Source organism: Homo sapiens, chromosome 2 (assembly GCF_000001405.40).
Source record: "Homo sapiens chromosome 2, GRCh38.p14 Primary Assembly".
Classification (NCBI taxonomy): Eukaryota; Metazoa; Chordata; class Mammalia; order Primates; family Hominidae; genus Homo; species Homo sapiens.
The window spans coordinates 102186313-102209628 of NC_000002.12; the positions used below are offsets into that span (position 1 = coordinate 102186313).

Below are 23316 nucleotides of genomic sequence, written 5' to 3' on the forward strand. Positions count from 1 at the left end.
CAAAAGCACTTTGGAATCCTCAATACTTTTTAAGAGTGTAGAAATCTACAAACCACTGACCTTCAGCCTATCACAGGAAGCTTTGCTATTAGCACAATTATTGCATCTCTGCTCCTATGGTTGCTTTTGTCTCACTGTCTCTGATCTTTCAAAGACCGTTGGGAAGAGCTTGACCAGTAATCTATTGAATGGAGATTACATTTTGAACCTTTTCCTACAACTCAGTGCCCTGTGGGATGACTCTGGGGTGTCTCCTGATGGCTAGGGCAACAGGTCCCTGTTGACATCACCTTATCGGGAAGTTTTAGACAGGAACAGTCTTCAGGCTCTGAAGTACTTGAACACCATGGGATTCCTGCCTTACAGAAGTTAATGAGCACGACTCAGGCAGATTCATAATTCTCCTTAGAAGCCATTTGGGATGGCTTCCACTTTGGGGTCATTCCACATAGGCCAATGCAGAGCATGCAGTAACTGCTCAAATAGGATTTGGAAAGGAATGAATAATTCATTTAGACGTTCAACTTGGAATAGACTTAAGCAGACACTCCTGGTGATGAAGGACTTAGATGCCAGAAAATCAGGCTCAAAGACTTTCAAGCCACTTCCTAGTGTGATGTCACATTCCTTCCTACGCTCCACTGGGGAAGGCAGGTCTGCCCCGCCCACGGTGGCGGGGAAATACCTAGGCATGGAAGTGGCATGACAGGGCTCGTGTCCCTGTCATATTTTCCACTCTCCACGAGGTCCTGCGCGCTTCAATCCTGCAGGCAGGTAGACACCGGGCCGGGAGTCTGGCTGAGCCAGGCATGGGTGGGGCCCTGACAGTAGGAGAGGTGTGCAGGAAAAGACGTGGCAACAATGTGTGCCACCGCAGGCCAGGGATCAGGCCCCCCAGGCCGGCCCCCGACCGGCTAGGTGACCATGGGGGAGCCGACTCCGTCTCTGGGTCGAGGAGTGGAGCTCGCGGCTATTTTCAGCTCCAGCGGCTCCCTGCCTTCCTTTCTCCTTTCCCGCTGGCCCTTGCCAGGTAGGCCTGCCCTGGCTGCTCCCCAGTGAGCGGGTGTTTGGGGTTTCTGTTTAGACCGCCAGGCTCGGGTGGATCCCGAGGACACAGGCGCGCAGGGGAGGCTCCGTGCGCCGCGAGCGGGGTTGGGGTCCCACGTCTGGAACCCAGGCCGCAGGCTGCGCTGGGGGGCGCCCTGGCCCTCACGGGGGCTCTGGACACCAGCCTGCTTCGCTGTCAGGTGGCAGAAGCAGCTCCCACGCGGTCCCCACCGCCGCCGCCGCCTACTCCTCGCCCATCCTCCTCTGCGGCGGGGCGAGCTCCCTGCCCTGGATCCTGGTCGGGCGCCCAGACGAAGGAGACAGGGGAAGGGCAGTCTTTGGGGAAACGTGGGGCCAAAGTCGGAGGGCTCCCCAGGAAAAAGGGAAGGTCAGCGGCCTGGGCGGTTGTCTTTGAGATTCCGAGGTCGCCCACGCCGGCGCCTCGGGCCCGCCCTACTGCGTCCTCCCCTCCCACCCTCTTCTCCCTTCCTTGCAGCCCGGTTTGGGGATGTGGTCCTTGCTGCTCTGCGGGTTGTCCATCGCCCTTCCACTGTCTGTCACAGCAGGTACGTTCCGTGTGTCCTCCGTTCCCAGAGGCTGCCCGAGTCCACAGGCTCCTGGCCTGTCATTGGGAGCCCCCGGGGATCGCGTCAGCCCGAGCGCGGCTCCTTCCCCTCCCCAGACCGCCAGGCGGAGTTCCGCGGAAGAGGAAACAGAGAACCAGCTCCACGTGCTCGGATGCTCAGCCCTGAATGTCGCCTTTGAGCTTGGAGGTGACTTCGGGGAGGGGAAGGAGTTAGGCAAATTCCAAGTGAAGACTTGAGTAACAATGCTCAAATGGAATTACTACAGGCTATTTTATAAGATAAAGCGTTATTTTATGACACAAGGTGAAAGCAAGGAAACCGTCAATAGAACAAATTTCTTCTAAGAAATTTGGTATGGCCGGGCGCAGTGGCTCATGCCTGTAATCCCAGTACTTTGGGAGGCCAAGGCGGGCGGATCACGAGGTCAGGAGATCTAGACCATCCTGGCTAACACGGTGAAACCCCGTCTCTACTAAAAATACATTAAAAAAATTAGCCGGGCGCGGTGGCGGGCGCCTGTAGTCCCAGCTACTCAAGAGGCTGAGGCAGGAGAATGGCGTGAACTCGGGAGGCGGAGCTTGCAGTGAGCCGAGATTGAGCCTCTGCACTCCAGCCTGGGCGACAGAGAGAGACTCCGTCTCAAAAAAAAAAAAAAAAGGAAATTTGGTAGAAATGAACTTTAAAAGTGAACCAAATTTTTTTTCTTAAACAATCGTTTTGGGATGAAATACCTTTTACTCAAGACAGAGTAAAATAACTGGGTGGCAGAGCAGAAACAGAAAAGACAAGAAGGGTTGATTTACTCTGTAGGTGAGTACAGAGTAAAGAACTCTGTGGATGAAAAGAACTAAGGGTCGTAGAATAGAAGGGAAAGAGGGAAATCACTCCCGATGGGGAGGTTTGTGAGGAGGGAACGGAGTAAATTCTGTTTTATGGATACATTTAAAGAACTTGGAATTATACTTTATAATCAGCAGGCTATTTTTAGGAAACTTCCAGACTCAAGAAACTCCCAAATAAAATTTCAAATTGGCTGGAAAATTGAAGAGGCATTTAAAAAAACTAACAGTAAATAAAACTGAAGTTTTCTTTCATGGATAATTGTTTTGTTTTGTTTTTCTTTCCCTAGATGGATGCAAGGACATTTTTATGAAAAATGAGATACTTTCAGCAAGCCAGCCTTTTGCTTTTAATTGTACATTCCCTCCCATAACATCTGGGGAAGTCAGTGTAACATGGTATAAAAATTCTAGCAAAATCCCAGTGTCCAAAATCATACAGTCTAGAATTCACCAGGACGAGACTTGGATTTTGTTTCTCCCCATGGAATGGGGGGACTCAGGAGTCTACCAATGTGTTATAAAGTAAGTTCCTAATTTAAAATAGAACTAACTCGTGTGTGTATGTATAAATTATTTTAGGAAAATTCTTAACGAACATAGAAAACTCTTGAGAAGAATTATGTTGTTGTATGTTTTTATAATTGCTACAAGACAATTTCCAGTGAACACATTTTTAAACAGAACAGATTTGTAAATCATTTTTGGAACCTGATATGCATCTTTCCCTATGGAAATGGCACCTCAGACCAGACCCACTCACAAAGTGTGTTTGTCCCAGTATTATTGCTGCCATCTTTCTTTCCTGTTTTCTTTTTCTTTTCTTTTTTATTTTTCTTTTTTATTTTTTGAGATGGAGTCTCGCTCCGTCACCAGGCTGGAGTGCAGTGGCGGCGATCTCGGCTCACTGCAACCTCCGCCTCCCAGGTTCAAGTGATTCTCCTGCCTCAGCTTCCGAAGTAGCTGGGATTATAGGCGCTTGGCTATATCCGAAGTAGCTGGGATTATAGGCGCAAGCCACCATGCTTGGCTAATTTTTTGTATTTTTAGTAGAGATGGGGTTTCACCGTGTTAGCTAGGATGATCTCGAGCTACTGAACTCGTGATCCGCCCGTCTTGGCCTCCCAAAGTGCTGGGATTACAGGCCTGAGCCACCTAGCCCGGCCGCTGCCATCTTTCTTGAAATGCCAAAAGTTTTTGTGGGAAATGGCACATCCAGATAGGAATGAGCCTCCTATGAGCGCTTTTCACGAGGAATCTGCTTAAGGCAGGGAGTAAGCATGGAGTATGTTCCAGACCTCACTGGAGAACCTGTGCTAAGAAATATGAATAACACAGGCCTGCTGGTGACTGTGGTCAGCTGGAAAACACATGCCCCTCAAAGGTAGCTGTCTATTCAGGTCAAGCCCATCTTCTCACTTTTCAAGGGAATATGGAAATCGGAATTTGTGTGTGCAACTTTTTATAATTTGTAAAGCTTTGTGGGGCCTGAATAAAACACATCTGTAGAACAAATTTAGCCTGAGGGCCCAATTTCGTGACTTTCCCACACTGGCTTGCATGACCTTAACAAATTACTTGATCTCTCTGAGCCTTGGTTTTTTTCTGTAAAATGGAAGTAATGCTGGCCTGATAGGCTTGAGGTGCAAATTAACTGAGATCAGGTGTGAAGTAGGTACTCCATTCTCTCGCTCTTGTTTTGATTCCGCGATATTTGCCAGCCCCTTTCTGTGTCCCAGCATGGCCCCTGTCCCACTCTGATTGCTGCTAGATTCCTCATTTCTAAACACCAGACAGACTAAATGCACAAAATTGAGTGGTTCACAAGTGGAAGTGGTCGTTAGCTCTGCCTGGCTCCTTTCCACAGATTTAGTTGCTAATAAACCGCTCAGGGCACGTGGAGGTCTGCTGTCCTATTTTAGCCTAGGCTGTGAATTATTAACTAGTAGCCTAGGCTGTGAATTATTAACTAGACTTGAAGATCATACATCACATAAATGAATCTGGATGTCGAAGCTAGACTTAAACTATTTAAATCTGGGAGCTGTGAAATGAGGAAAAGTAATCTTTAATAGAAATTGACGAAGATATTATCTGCCATGAAAGAAAATGAACATGAATTCTCCAAGACTTTTATTACTAACATCCAGATAGGATACGTGTTTAGGAAACTGTATATTTTTACTTTTTGCTTTGAAATAATTTTAAATTTAAATAAATTTTGCAGGAATAGTATCAAGAACTTCCTTCTACCCTTTATCTAGATTCCTCGTTTTTAAGAATATATTTTTACATTTATCTTATAATTTTCTCTTTCACAATATATATGATATAAATTACAAACAATATTTTTCTCCTAAACCATTTTTTAAACCATTTCAGTTGAAAAAACTGAATACTGCCTTAGCCCTTAATCATCATACCCTCTTAGCCCTTAATATTTCAATGTATATTTCCTATCAACAGTGTATGTTTCCTATTTCCTTTCAATGTATATTTATTTATTTCTTACATAATCATAGTATAGTTATCAAATTCAGGAAACTTAAACATCATATAATACCTTAATCTATAATCTATATTCTAATCTTATCAATGATCTCATTGAAGACCTTTTATAATGTTTTTCTTTCTTTTCCAGTACAGTTACCAATCTGGGATCATGCATTGCATTTGGTTGCCATGAATATTTAATTTCTTTTAATCTGGAACAGTTCCTCAGTCTTTGTTTTTCATGATACTGACATTTTTAAGAACTGTAAGCAATTATTTTGTATTACCTCCTTCATTGGGGTTTGTCAGGTATTTCTTCATGAGTAGGTTCAGCCATTTTGGCTGGAATGCTAGGTGAGGCTTTGTGTCCTCTTCAGAATATTACTCAGAGGCACATGGCGTCCACTTGCCCCTAGTTGGTGATGTCCATTTTGATCACTCAGTTAAGGTGTTGTCCAGTTCCTCCACTGTATGAATACCATTTGTCCTTTTGTGATGAATCATTTGTGGATGCTTAGTGCTTTGTTAGAGGCAGAGGGTTTGCACAGTGCTGTGAAAATGATTTGAAAACATTTGAAAATGAGTGGAATTATTTGATTTTGTGATTTGTTTTAAAGAGTTTATGAGGTCTCAATCTGTCTTACAGGGGTAGAGACAGCTGTCATAGAATACATGTAAACCTAACTGTTTTTGAAAAACATTGGTGTGACACTTCCATAGGTGGTTTACCAAATTTATCAGATGAGTACAAGCAAATATTACATCTTGGAAAAGATGATAGTCTCACATGTCATCTGCACTTCCCGAAGAGTTGTGTTTTGGGTCCAATAAAGTGGTATAAGGTAAAAAAGAATTTTCTTATTGATATTTTTCCTCCTTTTCTTTAAAACCCACTGTTTTTTATAGGTTAAGTTGTATTTTTTAAGGCAGAATTGGTAAAGAAAGTTGTGTGCCTAAGATAGATTAGTTAGCTAGCAGTCATTGATAACGTTACCTTCCTAATTACTGTTTTTAAACATTTTTGGTTATTATAGCTTTGTAATATTTTATTATTTGGATCCACCACCTTCCTCCAGTTATTCTTATTTTTCAGGCTTTTCTTTATTTTTCTAACATTAATTATATTTGTTTAAATGCATACTATGTGCACATGGTTCAATAATCACAAATTCTAAGAGGTCACCCCCTGGAAAACCTCTTTCCTGCTACCGTTCCATATTTGTTCTGGGCTCATCACACCTTCCTCAACTGTGGCTACCATGATTAGTGCCCTGTGATTATTCTTGTATGATGCTATACTAGCAAATAAAAATATATAGTCTAGCTCTTTCTAGCCCTTCCTTTTTTACGCTCATCTTTCTGCACTTTGTGTTTTCATCTTCAAAAGTTCTCTTTTCTTGATGATCCTGGCATATGTTGACATAGAAGGTAACTCTTGGCATGGAGGAGCACAGGCTAGTCATTTGAGATTGGAATTAGTTTTTCCTGCTTGTTAACGCCTGCCAGCACACCCCTCTGGGTCATGAGTTTTCTTTATGGGAAGATTTTCATCTATTGATTCAATTTCTTTAATGGTGAAAGAATTACGCAAATTTCTTACTTTCTCTTGTGTGAGTTTGGTAAGATTTTGTGTCTTAGGAAGTTTCTCATTTCATTAAAGGTCTCATATATTCTGGAAAATTGTTTAGCAGCTCTTCTCTTTTAATGTCTGCAGACATCAAAACCTTCAAAGTAAGGTTCACCTTCAGTCATTATTCATTCTCTCTTACACACATACACACACACGTGCACACACACACACACTTACTTGATTAGTTTCATCAGAGACTTGTCAGTTCTAGTACTCTTTTCAAAAGCTAACTTTTGACTTTGTTGATCCTTTCTGTTATATGTTTCATGTTCATTTAGGTTGTTTAGTTTCCCTCTTTTACAAGAAATGTGGAAGTGAGTGTCCTTATACCTGTATTTTAAGGCACGTTTGCCAGTGAATGCATTCCTTTAAGATTACTAGCCCTAGAATTGCTCATTTGTAGGGCATGCAGATGAACAAAGTATTCAACTTTGTTGATGTTACACAAATTGCTTCACAGAATTTTGTATCAGTTTATACTTTTGCCAGGAGTATTTTATTTTACTTTATTTTATGACAGAGTCTCACTCTGTTGTCCAGGCTGGAGTGCAGTGGTGTGATCATGGCTCACTGCAGCCTAATTCCTGGGCTCAAGTGGAAGCCCAGGTAATTTTTTAAATTTTTTGTGTGACAGAATCTTGCTATGATGCCCAGACTGGTCTCGAACTCCTGGCCTCAAGTGGTCCTCAGGCCTTGGCCTCCCAAAGTGGTAGGATTACAGGCATGAACCACCATGCATGGCTCACCAGGAGTATTCTAGATTTCCTACAACCTTGTGTTGAACTTTGTATTATAAGCCTTTGATTTTTAAAATCAGTTTGGTGGGTATAAAATGTACCTTTTTATTTTATTTTGCTTTTCCTTAATTATTAGTGAGATTGACCACATTTTTCAGTTTATTGGCCATTTCTGGATCCTCTTCTGAACTGCCCACTCATATCTTTTGGTATATTTCTTATTTTACTTTTCATGCCATTTTCTTGTGACTTATAGGAGATTTTATATATTTATATATCCTGGGTATGATTGTTTGCAATGCATTAAAAAAACCCCTTTTCATTGAAGTATAACGTATACATATAAAATGCAGAAATCATAATTGGACAAGCTTGTTGGATTATCAGAAAGTGAACATACCTTTTAATTACCCTTTCCCATGAAAGTTAAGAAAGAAAACATTACTAGCACCTCCGAAGGCCCACCTCTTCCATCTTGCAAAAACTATGCCTCCCTAGTCCCCCAAATAACCACTTCCCTGATTTATGCTATCATAGATTGGATTTACCAGTTTTTGAATTTTATTTAATTTGAATAAAATCATATGTAGTGTTTATGTCTAGCTTCCTTGGCTCAATAGCAAAACAGTGGGAATCATCTATGCTGTTTCATGTGGCTATATTTCATCCATTTTCTTTGCTGTGTACTATTTCATTATTATTATTGTTAGACTCTTGAGTCATTTCCAACTTCTGGGTCTTAGAATCAAAGCTGGTATGAACACTTTCCTCACTTATGAATGCAATTTTGTGGGACATATTACATGAGAGTGAAATAGTTGGGTCATAAGGGTACGTAGAAAATGCCAAACCATTTTCCAAAGTGGTGCCAATTAACAGTTCCAGCAGCAGTGTATAAGAGTTATTTATGCCCCTATACCTGACAACACATGGTACTATTAGTCTTTTTAATTTTTGCTATTTGGATAAATGAGTAATTGTGTCTCATTTCAGCTTTAATTAACACTTCCCTGATTACTGATAATGTTGATCTTCTTTAAATTTTCTTATTGGCACTTGGATGTCTGTGTGTGTGTGTGTAATTTTTTTCTTTGAGTGCTTGCTTGTGAAAATTTTTTTTGAGACTAGCTCTTGCTCTGTTGCCCCGGCTGGAGTGTGGTAGTGCAATCATAGTTCACTGTAACCTTGAACCCCTGGGCTCGAGTGACCCTTCTGCCTCAGCCTCCTGAGTGGCTGCGGGTTACCTTGTCCAGGAGGTATCATTTTTTTTTTTCTGTGAAAAGCCAAATAATAAATATTTTAGGCATTGTAGGCCGGATGGTCTCTGTTTCACCCACTCAACTCTGTTTTGGAAGCACAAAAACAGTTGTAGACAATGTAGAAATGAAGGAGTGTGGTTGTGTTGCAATAACATTTTATTTACAAAAACAGGTGGTTAGCCACATTTGGCCCGTTGTGTGGTTTGCTAGCCTCTTGTCTATTTCTCATTGATTTGTAGTAGTTCTTTATAGATCTGGATATCAGTAATTGTTACAATGTGTCCTTCTAAGCAATGGCTAACCTTTCTACTCTGGTAATGAGGTCTCAGACTTCCTAGTTTTAATGCAGTCTGATGTATTGATTTTCCTTTGTGATTAGTACTTTCTGTGACTTGTTTAAGAATCTTTTTCCTACCCCTAAGTAAAAAGACCTTTTTTCCTATATTTTCTTCTTGAAGTTTCATTGTTTTTCTTTTTCCACTGATTTTTAAGTGTGTAGTGTTGGTAGGGTCAAATGTAATTTTTTTCTCTGTGGACTTATAGTTTACCTGTTCTTTTCACGTTGCTTTGCATGCAACGTAAATCATATTGGTCTTTGTGTGTAGATCTGTTTCAGAACCCTCTGTAGCATTCCCTTATTCTATTTCTTTCTTTCTCTTTCTTTCTTTCTTTCTTTCTTTCTTTCTTTCTTTCTTTCTTTCTTTCTTTCTTTCTTTCTTTCTTTCTCTCTCTCTCTCTCTCTCTTTCTTTCTTTCTTTCTTTCTTTCTTTCTTTCTTTCTTCTTTCTTCCTTCCTTCCTTCTTTCTTTCTTTTTTTTTTTCTTTTTTCAGATGGAGTCTCAGTCTCTCTCCTAGGCTAGAGGGCAGTGGTGCGGTCTTGACTCATTGCAACCTCTGCCTCCTGGGTTCAAGCCATTCTCCTGCCTCAGCCTCCAGAGTAGTTGGGATTACAGGTGCACACCACTATGACTGGCTAATTTTTGGTATTTTTACTAGAGACAGGATTTCACCGTGTTGGCCAGGCTGTCTCAAACTACTGACCTCAGATGATCCACTTGTCTCAGTCTCCCAAAGTGCTGGGATTACAGGTGTGAGCCAGCGCATCGGGCCCTTATGCTTGTTAATTATTATGGCATTAGATAAGTCTTAAGTTTTGTATAAGTCCTCTGCTTTTCCTTTTTCTGAAATGTTGCCTTGGCTATTCTAACTTCTGTTTCTGCAGCACTTGGAGATGGACTCAGGGCTATGACTAGCAATCCTAAGTGAGCATCGGATTTGATCCTCTGGATCTTTTAAAAATTCTGATGTTCAGCCTCACCTTCTGCTAACTGAAGCAGGTCACCCATGGGTGGCGCTTAGATGCCTTTATTTTAAAAACAACCCCTGGGCTTGCAAATGTAGGCAAAAGCTGAGGGTCAGCAGTGTAAGCAGGAGGGGTCACCTGATACTATACCACCTGCTCAGATTTGGTGATCCAGGTATGGCTGTTTTTGCCACTACCATGTGCTCAGACCTGGAATCACTCTTTGGGCCTCAGTGTTGTCATCTGTAAAACCAGAGGGTTGGAATCAATTCTGCAATATCTGGAGTCTGTGATCTTCTTGGTGCTGTGCCAAGGGATGTCATATGTCTTCAAAGAAGTTACAATTTATCAGAGGAAGCAGACAAGTAAACTAAGAATTTTATTACAGCATGAGGTGAACATAAAGAAAGCAAAACTAGAGCAGACCCTGGGAATGTCCATGGCTATGCTTCCTGGAAAAGGTGACTTTGAACTGTGCTTGAAGAGTGAACACAGTTAGCCTGGTGGGTACGGCAAGGAAGGTCAGTAATTAGAGGGAAGCAGCAGGTGCAAAGGCGTTGGGTGAGAAAGAGAATGGTGTTTGGGGGCCTTGGTTAGAGTTTAGGGCACATGTAGAAAGATGGTGCTAGAAAATAAACACCATTTATGCCAACCTAAAGCATTTCAACAGTGAATCCTACCATCAGGAGAATGGCATGAGCAAATTCACATTTGAGAAAAGTCCTTCTGTGGGGCTATAGTGAATACATTGGAAGGCCTTGAGAATGGTGGCATGCTGATCATTTGGACTATCCTAGAAATCAAGTTAAGAAGTGCGGTTCATTTCAGAAAGTTATAAAGTAGAACTGAAAAATTAGGGAAAAGGAGGAACTCATGTCTGAGGGCCCCTAATTTTTCTAATTGTAAGGAGATGTTATGGGGAAAATTTGAAAGAGTAATGTAAGTAAATAGATGGAGATGTAATGAATTTGTAGTGGTACCAAGACCCCTGTTTATGTGATTATCTCCTATAGTGCTCTGCTCTCTGGTTGAAGGCTTGCAGGAGAGGGATGAAGGGATCCATCAGAATGGGTCTTTGCAGGTGAAGATGCTGGAAGGACGGAGGGCTGCAGAGTTGAGGTACTGGAAGGGAAGTGATTCAAGTGATGGACACGTGAATCCAGGATGGACAGGAAAGGAAATGATACCTGAAAGAGCTTGGAAATTAGACAAAAGTAGAGAGGTCAGGTGGGCTAATTCCAGTTAAGATAGAAAAGTGAGTTGAATGGATAGAAAGTTCAGGTGGAAAAGTGTAATGCCCATGGTGAGTCTTTTTATCCTGTAGAGGCCATAAAACTAAAAAGACACAGGAACAAAATGACCATACCACCTTACATTTTGCTGAGTCACCTACTGCTAAGGCTCTGGATGGAATTCCATGTCTCCAGCTGGCTTTGCTGAAAGGTAAAGGTGAGGATGGAGGATCTTCCTGCTCTTTCTGCTGGAAAGCAGAGCCCTGGAGACACGGAAATTTCTCCAGCAGCATTGAAGTGTCCAGTCTCCAGTTCTGTGGGAGCTGAGTATTCCACTTTATTTGTTGGGGTGGCTCTTCCTGATGTGGCATTACTTGACACACTGGAGTTGCATAAGCGGCAACTCCTGGTCTCTGAATTGCAGGTGGTGTATTTCAGAGTTGATTCCCCACTTTCCAGATTGTGGTAGAGGTAGCGGCTCTCAGGGCAAGCTACTTCTGCAGTGTGGTTCTGGCCTCGATGCCACTTCCTGAGTACTTTCACAGATTTAGCAAAGCACCTAGTATCTTGTCTTGAATCCTTTTCTGCATAAAATATAGAATGATTTTTGTTTGCTAAATCCAGACAGAGATATATGGCTTCATGGCTCTGTTTCAAAGATTAAATGATCTAATCTATCCACGAAGCATTTAGTTCAGCATGAGTACATAATAGGTACGTAATAAATAAATATTAGAGATTATTATGTTACAATAAAGGAATGAATGAGCTGGAATAGGGAATCAGTCAGAAAGTAATAAATTTAATTTTAAGAATTTTGAGACAGAGGTTCTGGATAATGGCAAATCCCTACGAAAATCCTGGCTTACGTCTGGGAGAATTGAAAACTGAAAGTCCCCAGGAAGTCTTTGAAATTGAAGAGCTTACAGAGGACAAGGTTTGGGTATTAAGACATCTGTCTACACCTGGAAAAGTGGTAATGTCCCCAATTTTGTTTTTGTTTCAATCCCAAATTACTCCTCAGCACAGTGGTTTTGGGTCCCTATCACTGTGCTCAATCTGAACTTGCTGAAGTTACTTCGCGCTCTTCAGTTGCTAAATTGACATTCATTTTCAACCTGATTGTGGCATTCAACATTGCTGGGCACTCCCATCAGCTAGGAACTCCTTTCCCATTTCCTTCTAAGACTTATTCTTTGTCTCTGTTTATCTTTTTTATTTTTATTTTTTTCTGGTGCTTCCTTTGTAATCATCACTGAGTTCTTTTCCTCTATATTTGGGTCTTAGGATTTGAGGTTCCCCATGGTTTCAGCTGCGGTCATCTTCTGTGCTCGCTTTTGCTTACATTCAAGTGGATGATTTATAGAACCATCCGTTTGGCTCTATATTCTCCATATGGCTCCCAGTTCTCTTCCACTTGGACCTTTCTTCCAATCTCCAGATTTCTTTGTCCAACCGTCTAATGTACAGTCTCCTTAGACCCTCCCATCCCCACCACTCACCCCATGCACCATGGTTAGATCTATTTTTTAATCTTACCCTAAATAGGATCATTTTCTTCATTTCTTTGCATTCCTTCTTCTTCTTAGTAACACCTTTGCTTACCTAAGACTGTAGAAGTCCTGCTCCCTCTGCATATTCCAAATTTGTCACTAAATTCTGTGGACTGGAACTGCTTAAAATAATTGTTTTTTGTTTTTTACTTGCTATCCCTACTTCCCTGCCTTAGTTTAGGTTCCATTTGGTCTCAGTTTATGGAAATAAAATCTAAATGGTCTTTAGCATTGCACTATTTTAATCCTTTAAACTACACAGCAACTAAAGGATCTTTCTCAAAAGAAAATCTGATTGTCTTATTCTCTTGCTCAGAAAGCTTCTGATGCTCGTCTCCTCTTCATGGTTTTCTGTGACAGGTCTCCTGACTGCCTCACCAGTTTTATCTCCATCACTATTCTGTACCCACTGCATCTTAGTAAGAATTCTCAAGGCTATTTTGTGTTTCTGAAATATTGTACATGCTGGGTCAGGAGTTTTCTTCACGTTGCCTGGAATACATAAGGCATTCAAAAGTGGACGCTATTGTTCTTAACATTTTAATTTTAAATCTTGTTAGTGAGACATTACCCTAAAGATTTTAAATTTAAATCCAAGCTCATTGAGAGTTTAAACTTTGAAATAATGTTCCAGTGGATCAGAATAGAGGTAGTCTAAGTTATAGCAAAGCGACAGAATGGCCCTCAGCTGCAAGGCTGAACTTTAAGATGATTAAAATATGTATATCTTGAAAGAAAGAATGAACCCATCAGAAAGAGGACTGCTCAGCCATGGAAGCACAGCAAGGGAGGCCCAGAGACTGTGCCTAGCCAGAGACTATCCAGGGCAGCCTGTCCAGGGAAGAGGTTTATGAAATGTGAGGACTAGACATTGTACTTTGTTTGGGCTGAGTTCAGTGGCTTATGCCTGTAATCCTAGCACTTTGGGAGGCTAAGGTGGGCAGACTCCTTGAGCTCAGGTGTTCGAGACCAGCCTGGGCTTCATGGTGAAACCCCACCTGTACTAAAAAAACAAAAAATTGGGGTGTGGTGGCACGTACCTGTAGTCCCAGCTACTCGGGAGGCTGGAGTGGGAGGATCCCCCGAGCTCAGGAAGTGGGCGACAGAGCTAAGACCCTGTTCCAGCAAAAAAAAAAAAAAAAAAAAAAGTGCTTGTCTGTATCCTAAAGAAGGAGACATCACAATATCAGAGTCTGATCCCTTTATACATCTAACTCTGATTAGTAATTCCCATTTTGTTTGACAAGCAGTTGTCAGATTATGAGTTGGTTTCCCATATCAGGTATTTATAGGGAAATAATGTAAGCCTTATAGGAAGTAGCATTTCACATTATAAATAAACCAATGCTTGTTTGGCATTAATTATTTACTGCATCCTGCTGGGCGGCTCTATTCATGCTGTTCCAGGGGTGGAGAATGAAGTGTGACTCTGAACCATGCCTAAGTGAGGAGAGAGCCTAACACTTGGGCAGGTAAATATTTATTTAATTAGGAGTTTGCATGTTGATTTTATCTTTTAGATTGTGCACTTCCTGAGGAGAGGGATTGCATCTTAGTCCTGCATGGCCAGGCCTGTCACAGTGCAGGCAAACTGCAGGAATTCAAATGTTTGAATGAACAAATGGACTCAATTAGCTAAGCAGTCACTCTGTGGACTGCAGCTTCTTGGAGGACAGGGAGCAGGTTTGGGAGAATTCAGAAGGTGGCCCAAGGGATGGAAGAACTGGTGATTAGCATGAGAATGTGAGCCTAGGACAGGACAGAGAAACAGTGAGGCTTGCCCTCTGGGTGGTTGCTGGGAGAGAAAGCATTCCTGAGACTCACTGGTCTTCTGGTTGGTTGGGTGTGAGGTTGTTGCCTTGTCCATGGAGGAGGCATGGGAAGCGGGAGAAGTGATGTGACATCTGCCCACCATAAACCTGGCCAGCTTCCTTTGATCACTGTTCAGACCTTCAAATTGGATGTTGGTGAAGAATTATTTTGGACTTCTATAAAGTCCAATGCTTGATAAGTGCAGAAAGTGTAATTGGGCCCGCAAGGCAGTGGGAGCAGTTGTTATTCACCTGGGTTTCCAGTCTTGGCAGAGGGTCTTGGGCCATTAAGCGGGAGTCCACTGGCAGACATGGGCCCCTGAAGGTGGAGGACATTCCTGCCTGTTCATGTCCTCCTGCAAAAAACTGACCCAGGCTCAGTTTTCCTCCATGAAGTCTTCCTTCCAACTCACGTAGGCCACTCTCCTCTCAAGTCCTACTAGACTTATTGTTTGTATCATTCACTTCAGCCTGTAAAATATCCTTTGTCAAATCTGTGTATATCTATATACACACACATGCACATATATATGTACACACACACACATATATACACATTATATACAGACTAGGCAGGGAATTCTGCTGCCTATCTATCCATCTATCATCAATCTATCATCTACCTATTTTTCTATTTACCTAGCTAGCTAGCTATCTGTTGTCTTCCAGTTAGACTGTAAATTACCTAAATACTAGGGATCACACAGGTTTCTAAGTATTCATTGAATTGAATTTTGTTTTTATTTGTATTAGGACTGTAACGAGATTAAAGGGGAGCGGTTCACTGTTTTGGAAACCAGGCTTTTGGTGAGCAATGTCTCGGCAGAGGACAGAGGGAACTACGCGTGTCAAGCCATACTGACACACTCAGGGAAGCAGTACGAGGTTTTAAATGGCATCACTGTGAGCATTAGTAAGTATGCTCATGTATGCCTGTCGCCTTGTATTCTCTTGGCTTTGTGTGAACTGGCTTCTGGCTTTGGGTTTTGGGCTTTGAGCAGGAGTGATTCTAGGTCTTGGTTTCCCTGAAGGCTAGTAGGCTCTCAGACCTGCCACTGTTAGAATCAGAAGGTGGGAAGAGTGAGGCAGAAGGGCATGAGCAGCTTAGTTTCCTCTTCTGAACAACAGAACACTCAAAACTCTTGGTTGATTTGTGAAAATTAAATGAGATCATGCACATAGACTAGCTGCTGGGGTACCTGATGAAACACAAGTATCTAGACAATAGTAGATGTGATGAACATGACTGTCATTCACCTCAGCCTTCATTGTCGTGAATATTCCTGCGGGCCTTCCAGCTGAGGCCTCCCCTGCCTCAAGTGCCGCAGAGCTCAGAGTTCTGGATATGGTCCTGGGATATCCTGCTGCTCATGGACCTGTGTTCTCAGCCCAGAGCAGCCAGCTCTCTTGAACATATGCCTGGAGGTTTGAAAGTAGAATCTTAGGGGAAGAAGAAACCCTAAAAGTAAATTAGCTCAAGCCACTAATTTAATTTAATTTTTTTAATTTTCAATTTTTGTGGGTACATAATAGGTATATATATTTATATATAGTATGTGCATATATTACATAATAATAGGTGTATTATATATATAATAATGGGTATATGATATATTAAACACATAATAAGTGTATATATTACATAATATGTGTATATTTATAATCCATGAGCATAGAATATTTTTTCATTTTTTGGTGTCCTCTTCAATTTCTTTCATCAGTGTTTTATAGTTTTCATTATAGAGATCTTTCACTTCTTTGGTTAATTCCTAGGTATTTAATTTCGTTTAATTCCTATGTATTTTAATATTTTTGAAATGATGATATGGTTTTATGTGTGGCTATTGTAAATGGGATTACTTGTAAAATATCTTTTCACATTGTTCACTGCTGGCATATAGAAATGCTACTGATTTTTGTATGCTGATTTTGTATCCAGCAACTTCACTGAATTTATTAGTTCTAATAGTTTTCTTGTGGAGTCTTTAGGTTTTCCCAAATATAAGATCATATCATTTGCCAACAATGATAATTTGAATTCTTCTTTTCTAATTTGGATGCCGTTTATATCTTTCTCTTGTCTGATTTCTCTAGCTAGGACTTCCAGTACAATGTTGAATAACAGTGTTGACAGTGGGCATCCTCCTCGTGTTCCAGAACTTAGAGGAAAGGCTTTCGGTTTTTCCCCATTCAGTATGATACTAGCTGTGGGTCTGTCACATATGGCTTTTATTACATTGAGACATGTTCTTTCTACTTCCAGTTTTTTGAGGGTTTTTATCATGACCTGCTGAATTTTATCAAATGCTTTTTCCGCATCAATTGCAATGACCATATGGTTTTTAGCCTTTATTCTGTTGATATGATGTATTACATTGATTGATTTGCAAATGTTAAACCATCCTTGCATCCTAGGGATGAATCCCATTTGGTCATGATGAATGATCTTTCTAATGTATTGTTGAATTCTGTTTGCTAGTACTTTGTTGAGGATTTTTGCATCAATATTCATCAGAGATACTTGCCTATAGTTTTCTCTCTCTTTTTTTTTTTTGATGTGTCTTTGTCTGGTTTTGGTATCAGGGTAATAACTGGCCTCATAAAATGAATTTGGTAGTATCTTCTCATCCTCTATTTTTTTGAATAGTTTGAGCAGGATTGGTATTAGTTCTTCTTTAAATGTTTGTTAGAATTCAGTGGTGAAGCCATCCAGTCCTAGACTTTTCTTTAATAAAGAGACTTCTTTCTCTTTAATAAAGATACTTTATTAAAATTTCTATATTGTTACTTGTTATTGGTCTGTTTAGGTTTTGGATTTCTTCCTGGTTCAATCTTGGTAGGTTGTATTTGTCTAGGAATTTGCCCATTTCTTCTAGAGGGATTTCCTATTCATTGGCATACAGTTGCTCATAGTAGCCATTAATAATCTTTTGGATTTCTGCAATATCAGTTGTAATGTCTCCTTATTCATTTCTGGTTTTATTTATTTGTATCTCCTCTCTTTTTTGCTTAGTCTGGCTAAAGGTTTGTCAATTTTGTTTCCCTTTTTAAAGAACCAACTTTTTGTTTCATTGATCTTCTGTGTTTTTTTCATTTCAATTTCATTTATTTCTTCTACTAATTTTGGGCCTGGTTTGCTCTTGCTTTTCTAGTTCTTTAAGATACATCATTAGATTGTTTGTTTGAAGTTTTTCCTCTTTTTTGATGTAGGCACTTATAGCTATAAACTTTTCTCTGAGTACTGCTTTTGCTGTATCCCATATGTTTTAGTATGTTGTGTTTCCATTATTTGTTTCAAGAAATTTTTCAGTTTCCTTCTTAATTTCTTCATTGACCCACTGGTCATTCAGAAGCATACTGTTTAATTTCCATGTATTTGTATAGTTTCCAAAATTCCTCTCGTTATTGATTTCTAGTTTTATTCCATTGTGGTCAGAGAAGATGCTTGATATTATTCCAATTTTTTCAGTGTCTTAAGACTTGTTTTGTGACCTAACAGATGGTCTGTCCTTGAGAATGATCCATGTGCTAAGGAAAAGAATATGTATTCTACAGCCATTGGATGAAACGTTCTGTAAATGGATCTATTAGATCCATTTGGTCTATAGTGCAGATAAAGTCAGATGTTTCTTTGTTGATTTTCTGCCTGGAAGATCTGTCCAATGCTGAAAGTGGGATATTGAAGTCTCCAGCTATTATTGTATTGGAGCCTATCTTTCTCTTTAGCTCCAATAATATTTGTTTTTATATCTGAGTGCTTCAGTGTTGGGTGTTATATCCTCTTGCTGAATTGACCTTTTTATCATTACATAGTGACTTGCTTTGTCTTTTTTTATAGTTTTTGTCTTGAAATCTATTTTCTCTAAGCATAGCTACTCCTGCTCTTTTTTTTGTTTTTGATTGTCATGGAATATCTTTTTTCATACCTTTATTTTCAGTCTATGTGTGTCTTTATAGGTGAAGTGTGGAAACAATCAATGGGTCTTGTTTTTTCATTCATTCAGCCATTCTACATCTCTTTATTGGAGAGTTTAGTCCATTTACATTTAATGTTATTATTGATAGGTAGAACTTACTCCTGTCATTTTGTTATTTGTTTTCTGCTTGTTTTGGTCTTCTCTTCCTCCTTTCTTTCCTTCCTGTCTTCTTTTAGTGAAGGTGATTTTGTCTGGTGATATGACTTGATTTCTTGCTTTTTATTTTTTTGTGACTCTATTGCATTTTTTCTGGTTTGAGGTTTCCATGAGGCTTGAAAATACTATTTTATAACCCATTATTTTAACCGGATAACAACTTAATATTGTTTGCATAAACAAACAAGCAAAAAGAAAACTAATAAAAATTTTACACCTTAACTTTATTCCCCTGCTTTTTAACTTTTTGTTGCTTCTATTTATATCTTGTACTCACTACACCTTGAAAAGTTGTTGTAGTTATTATTTTTGATTGGTTCATCATTCAGTCTTTCTAGGATAAGAACAGTTTCACACCACAGTTACAGTGTTAAAATATTCTGTGTTTTTCTGTGTACTTATTATAACCAGTGAGTTTTGTGCCTTTGGGTGATTACTCATTGCTCATTAATGTCCTTTTCTTTCTGATTGAAGTACTCCCTTTAACATTTCTTGTAGGACAGGTCAGTAGATGAAATCCTTCAGCTTTCGTTTGTCTGGGAAAGTCTATTTCTTCTTCATGTTTGAAGGTTATTTTTGTGGATATGCTATTCTAGGGTAAACGTTTTTAAAATGTGTCATGCCACTCCTGGCCTATAAGGTTTCCACTGAAAAGTCTGCTGCTAGATGTATTAGAGCTCCATTGTATGTTATTTGTTCCTTTTCTCTTGCTGCTTTTAGAATCCTTTCTTTATCCTTGACCTTTGGGAGTATGATTATTAAATGTCTTGACGTAGTCTCCTTTGGATTAAATCTGCTGGGTGTTCTATAACCTTCTTGTATTTGGGGACTGATATCTTTCTCTAGGTTTGGGAAGTTCTCTGTTATCCTTTTGAATAAACTTTCTACTCTTTTCTGTTTCTCTACCTCCTCTGTAAAGCCAATAACTTTTAGATTTGCCCTTTTGAGGCTATCTTCTAGATTCTGTATGCAATGCTTCATTGTTTTTTATTCTTTTTTCTTTTGTCTCCTTTGACTGTGTATTTTCAGATAGCCTGTCTTCCAGCCTGCTAATTCTTTCTTCTGCTTGATACATTCCTCTATTAAAGGACTCTGATGCATTCTTCAATATGCCAATTGCATTTTTTCATTTCCAGAATTTCTGCTTGATTTAAAAAATCTTATTTCAATCTCCTTGTTAAATTTATCTGATAGAATTCTGAATTCCTTTTCTATGTTATCTTGAATTTCTTTGCGTTTCCTCAACACAGCTATTTTGAATTCTCTGACTGAAACATCACATATCTCTGTTCCTTCAGGATTGGCCCCTGGTGCCTTATTTAATTCATTTGAGGAGGTCATGTTTTCCTGGATGGTGTTGATGCTAGTAGATGTTCTTCAGTGTCTGGGCATTTAAAAGTTAGGTATTTATTGTAGTCTTCACTCTCTGGACTTATTTGTACTTGTCCTTCTTGGGAAGGCCTTCCAAAGGATTTGAGTGTTTCGATCAAAGCTGTATCTGCTTTAGGGGGCACCCTAAGCCCAGTAATGCTGTGGTTCTTGCAGACCTGTAGAGGTACCACCTTGATGATCTTGGACAATATCTGGGAGAATTCTCTAGATATCAGGCAGAGACTTGTTCTCTTCCCTTACTTTCTCCCAAACAAACAGAGTCTGTCTGTCTGTTCTGAGCCACCTAAAGCTGATGGTGGAGTGACACAGGCACCACTTTGGCCATGACCACTAGGACTGCTGGGTCAGACCTGAAGCCAGCACAGCGCTGGGTCTTGCCCAAGGCCTGCTTTACCCACTCCCTGGCTACTGCTTATGTTTGCTTTAGGCCCTGGTGCTCTACAATCAGCCGGTGGCAAAGCCAGCCAGGCCTGTGTCCCTCCCATCATGGCTGATTGCCACTGGCAAGGTCTCTCAGGCCCTGGGTGGATCCAGAGGTGCCATCTAGGAGTGAGGGATTAGAGTAAACAAACCTTAGAAGTCTACCAAGTGTTTTTTTGTACTGCAGCTGAGCTGGCAGTCAAACCACAAGACGTAGTCCTTCCCACTCTTCCCTCCCCTTTCCAAAGGCAGAGGAGCCTCAGCATCCATAGCCAGTGCCACAGCCGGCCACAAGGAGTACTGCCAGACTACCGCAGATTTTCCCTTAAGGTCCAAGAGCTCTTAAGTCAGCTTGTGGCAAATGCTGCCTTCCTGGGACTCACTCTTCAGGGCACTGGGCTCCCTTCTGGCCCAGGGCATGTGCAGAAGTGCCATCCAAGATTCAAGTCCCAGAATCAGGGACCTCAAGAGCCTGCTTCATGACCTACCCTCCCCTGTGGCTATGCTAGTACCTGAAGTGCAAGACAAACTTTTCCTTCTGCTTTTCTCAAGCAAAAGGAGTTTTGCCCTATAATCACTGCAGCTAATAATGTGCTCAGTCTCACCTAAAGCCAGCAAGTTTCAGATGCTCACCCAAGGCATTCAATGTAATACCTGGATAATTGCTACTGATTATTCATGGCACAAGGACTCTTAAGTTAGCAGGTGATGAATGCTGCAAGGACTGAATCCTTTCCGTCAAGGCAGCGGGTCCCCTTCTGGCCCATGGTATGTCTGTAAATGTTATCTGGGAGGCCTGGAACAGGGGCTTCATGACTCTGATCATTGTTCTCTCTTGCTGTGGCTGAGCTGGCATCCAAGATGCAAGTGAAGTCCTCTCCGCTCTTCCCTCTCCTCTCCTTAAGCAGAAGGAAAGCGTCTCTTTTATAGCTGCAAGGTGTGCAGTCTGGGGTGATAAAGAGGGGTGATGCCCACACTCCCTTGGCTGCCCTAGATGGGAATACTGAGGTATATTGCATGTCCCACTCCAGTCCACCGTCTCTGGGCAGCACTAGGACTCACCTAAGAGTTGCAGTCCCTGTGGCCCAGACTGCCTCTCAAGTTTACTTAGAGACCCAGAGCACTTTAGCTTGTGGTGGTAAGATTTACAGGAACTCAAGTTCTGATCACTGGGATTAACAATTCCCTCTGTCTAGGGCTGGTTTAAATGTTCCCTCCATGAGCCCGTGGCAGCTGAGTTTGGTCCAGTTTTCCTTTCTGTTCTAACAAGTCAGCATTGAGTTCAGTGCCTCACAATTGTGGTGTCCTTTCTCCTCCAGCAACCAGAGACACTCTCAGTACCATGCCGCCACTGTCAGGGGTTGGCGAGAGTGGCATTGGTGATTGAGGACTGCTTTTTCTATCTCATTGGTGTCCTTTTCTGTGATACAGATTTAAAACCAGATACTATGAGTGATTTTTGGTTCTTATGAAGGTGTTTCTTCTGTGTAGATGGTTGTTAACTTGGTGTCCTTGTAGGGGAGACAATTGGCGGATTCTTCTATTCTGCCATCTTGTTCCACATTCTCTCCCCAAGCTATACATTTTACAGAGTTCCAGGAGGGGAGCAACTTATTCAAGGTCACAAACCTGGTTATTGTCAGAAACAGAGCCAGAGCTCTGGCATTCAATGCCCAGGCCAGCATTGGTTTTTCCAAACACACTGGACAAGGAGTTCCTGCTGTGGTGGCTTTTGCTCTTTCTTTAGTAGAAAGTTGTTTTCTATATTTACTCATCTAGATGAGAAGAACTAAAGGCTGGATACTTCTTTGATGTAGACCTTCCTATTTGTCACTAGTTTCCATCACACTTCAGAGTACTAGGGGAGACTGAGCTATTTCTGGGTGGTGTGGATCCCTATGGGGATCTGGTCAGCATGGGTGGCTCCCTGCTGCCTATGCAGGACAGGGCCCTTTACTCTGTACAGTCCAGTGACTCCCTGAATTCCAGCTGTTCTTCTAGAGAGCCCGTTCTAGTCCTCCTATGTTCTTTGCAGCAACTGCTCATTTGATTTAAATATTTTGGGGTGGTTTTCAATTTTAATTGTTCATGCTAAAAGCACAGTCATTAAGAAAATTAATTGTACAAGGTTTTTTTGATTTTCCTGCTCTTGGGTTTTCTGCTGACCATTATCTCTCTGAAAGAAAGCACCTGCCTCATCTTGTTCACAGTTGAATCCCTGGCCCTGAGCCCAGTGCCTGGCCTAGACTAGGCACAGATCTATTTATTAAGTGAATGATTGACTACTATAATGCATTAATGTTACATTGGTAACTGAGGGGAAATTTTGTAAGGTGAAATTGCTCAGGTAAAATGAAGAATCCCTTAAGAAGTAACTGGGTTCAGTAGTCACTACTTCATGTTCAATAAACATTTATTTATGATCTGTTATATGCCAGTATTATGGAAGGTCCTGATAATTCAAAAGTGAAAAGCATTGTTTCTTCTACTATGAAACTGTCAGACATGGTGATGGTGAATCTAGGGGTTAAATGGATCATTTTAACATTATGTGCTAAGGGTAGAGCCACAGACAGTGTTTGCGGAGCAGGAAAAGAATAAGAAGGGTCCGTGGGTGGCACGCAAATGGTCTGGGAAGGCTTCCAAGAGGAAAGGAGTTCTCAGCTGAATTTTGAAGAATGAATAGGATTCACAAAAGTAAAGGAGGGTGAGGAGGGGTCTCTAGGCAGAGAGAACAGAGGGAACAGTATAGGACAAAGCATGGAAGTGTTAAGCATTATGTTTATGTTGGATCTAAAATGACTTTCATTAGATCCTATGTGAGTATGGGGTGGGGAGGGTGGGAGCTGAGGTCATGGAGTTAAGCAGGGCAAGGTCCAGG

At 41.0% G+C, this 23316-nt stretch overlaps 1 protein-coding gene across 19 annotated transcripts in view, besides 2 other annotated features; it reads left to right on the top strand.

Annotated features, from left to right (window-relative positions):
• Positions 367 to 896: an enhancer, noted in NCBI's record as "H3K4me1 hESC enhancer chr2:102803139-102803668 (GRCh37/hg19 assembly coordinates)". NCBI's record gives its function as "activates a minimal SCP1, AML or CMV promoter by ChIP-STARR-seq in naive H9 embryonic stem cells {active_cell/tissue: H9 hESC(naive)}" and the evidence as "EXISTENCE:reporter gene assay evidence [ECO:0000049][PMID:30033119]".
• The window catches only part of IL1RL2 (interleukin 1 receptor like 2), a 56114-nt gene continuing 33458 nt past the window's right edge, over positions 661 to 23316 (top strand). For 10 of the 19 annotated variants that reach the window (XR_923053.3, XR_007083521.1, XR_007083520.1 and 7 more), the window contains exons 1-5: positions 711 to 774; positions 1544 to 1613; positions 2764 to 2998; positions 5613 to 5808; positions 15244 to 15403. Coding sequence is in view for 15 of the 19 variants with exons in the window: in XM_017005174.3 (XP_016860663.2) it covers positions 1556 to 1613; positions 2764 to 2998; positions 5613 to 5808; positions 15244 to 15403 (649 nt within the window). In the remaining 4 variants the exon portion in view is untranslated. Of the gene's footprint in view, positions 775 to 1001; positions 1031 to 1543; positions 1821 to 2763; positions 2999 to 5612; positions 5809 to 15243; positions 15404 to 23316 lie in introns of those variants that run through there. The other 9 variants (XM_011512094.2, NM_001351446.2, XM_047446164.1 and 6 more) reach the window with 6 other exon arrangements.
• Positions 10765 to 11964: an enhancer, noted in NCBI's record as "MED14-independent group 3 enhancer chr2:102813537-102814736 (GRCh37/hg19 assembly coordinates)". NCBI's record gives its function as "activates an origin of replication core promoter dependent on BRD2, BRD4, P300/CBP and CDK7 cofactors, and independent of MED14, by STARR-seq in HCT116 cells {active_cell/tissue: HCT116}" and the evidence as "EXISTENCE:reporter gene assay evidence [ECO:0000049][PMID:35650434]".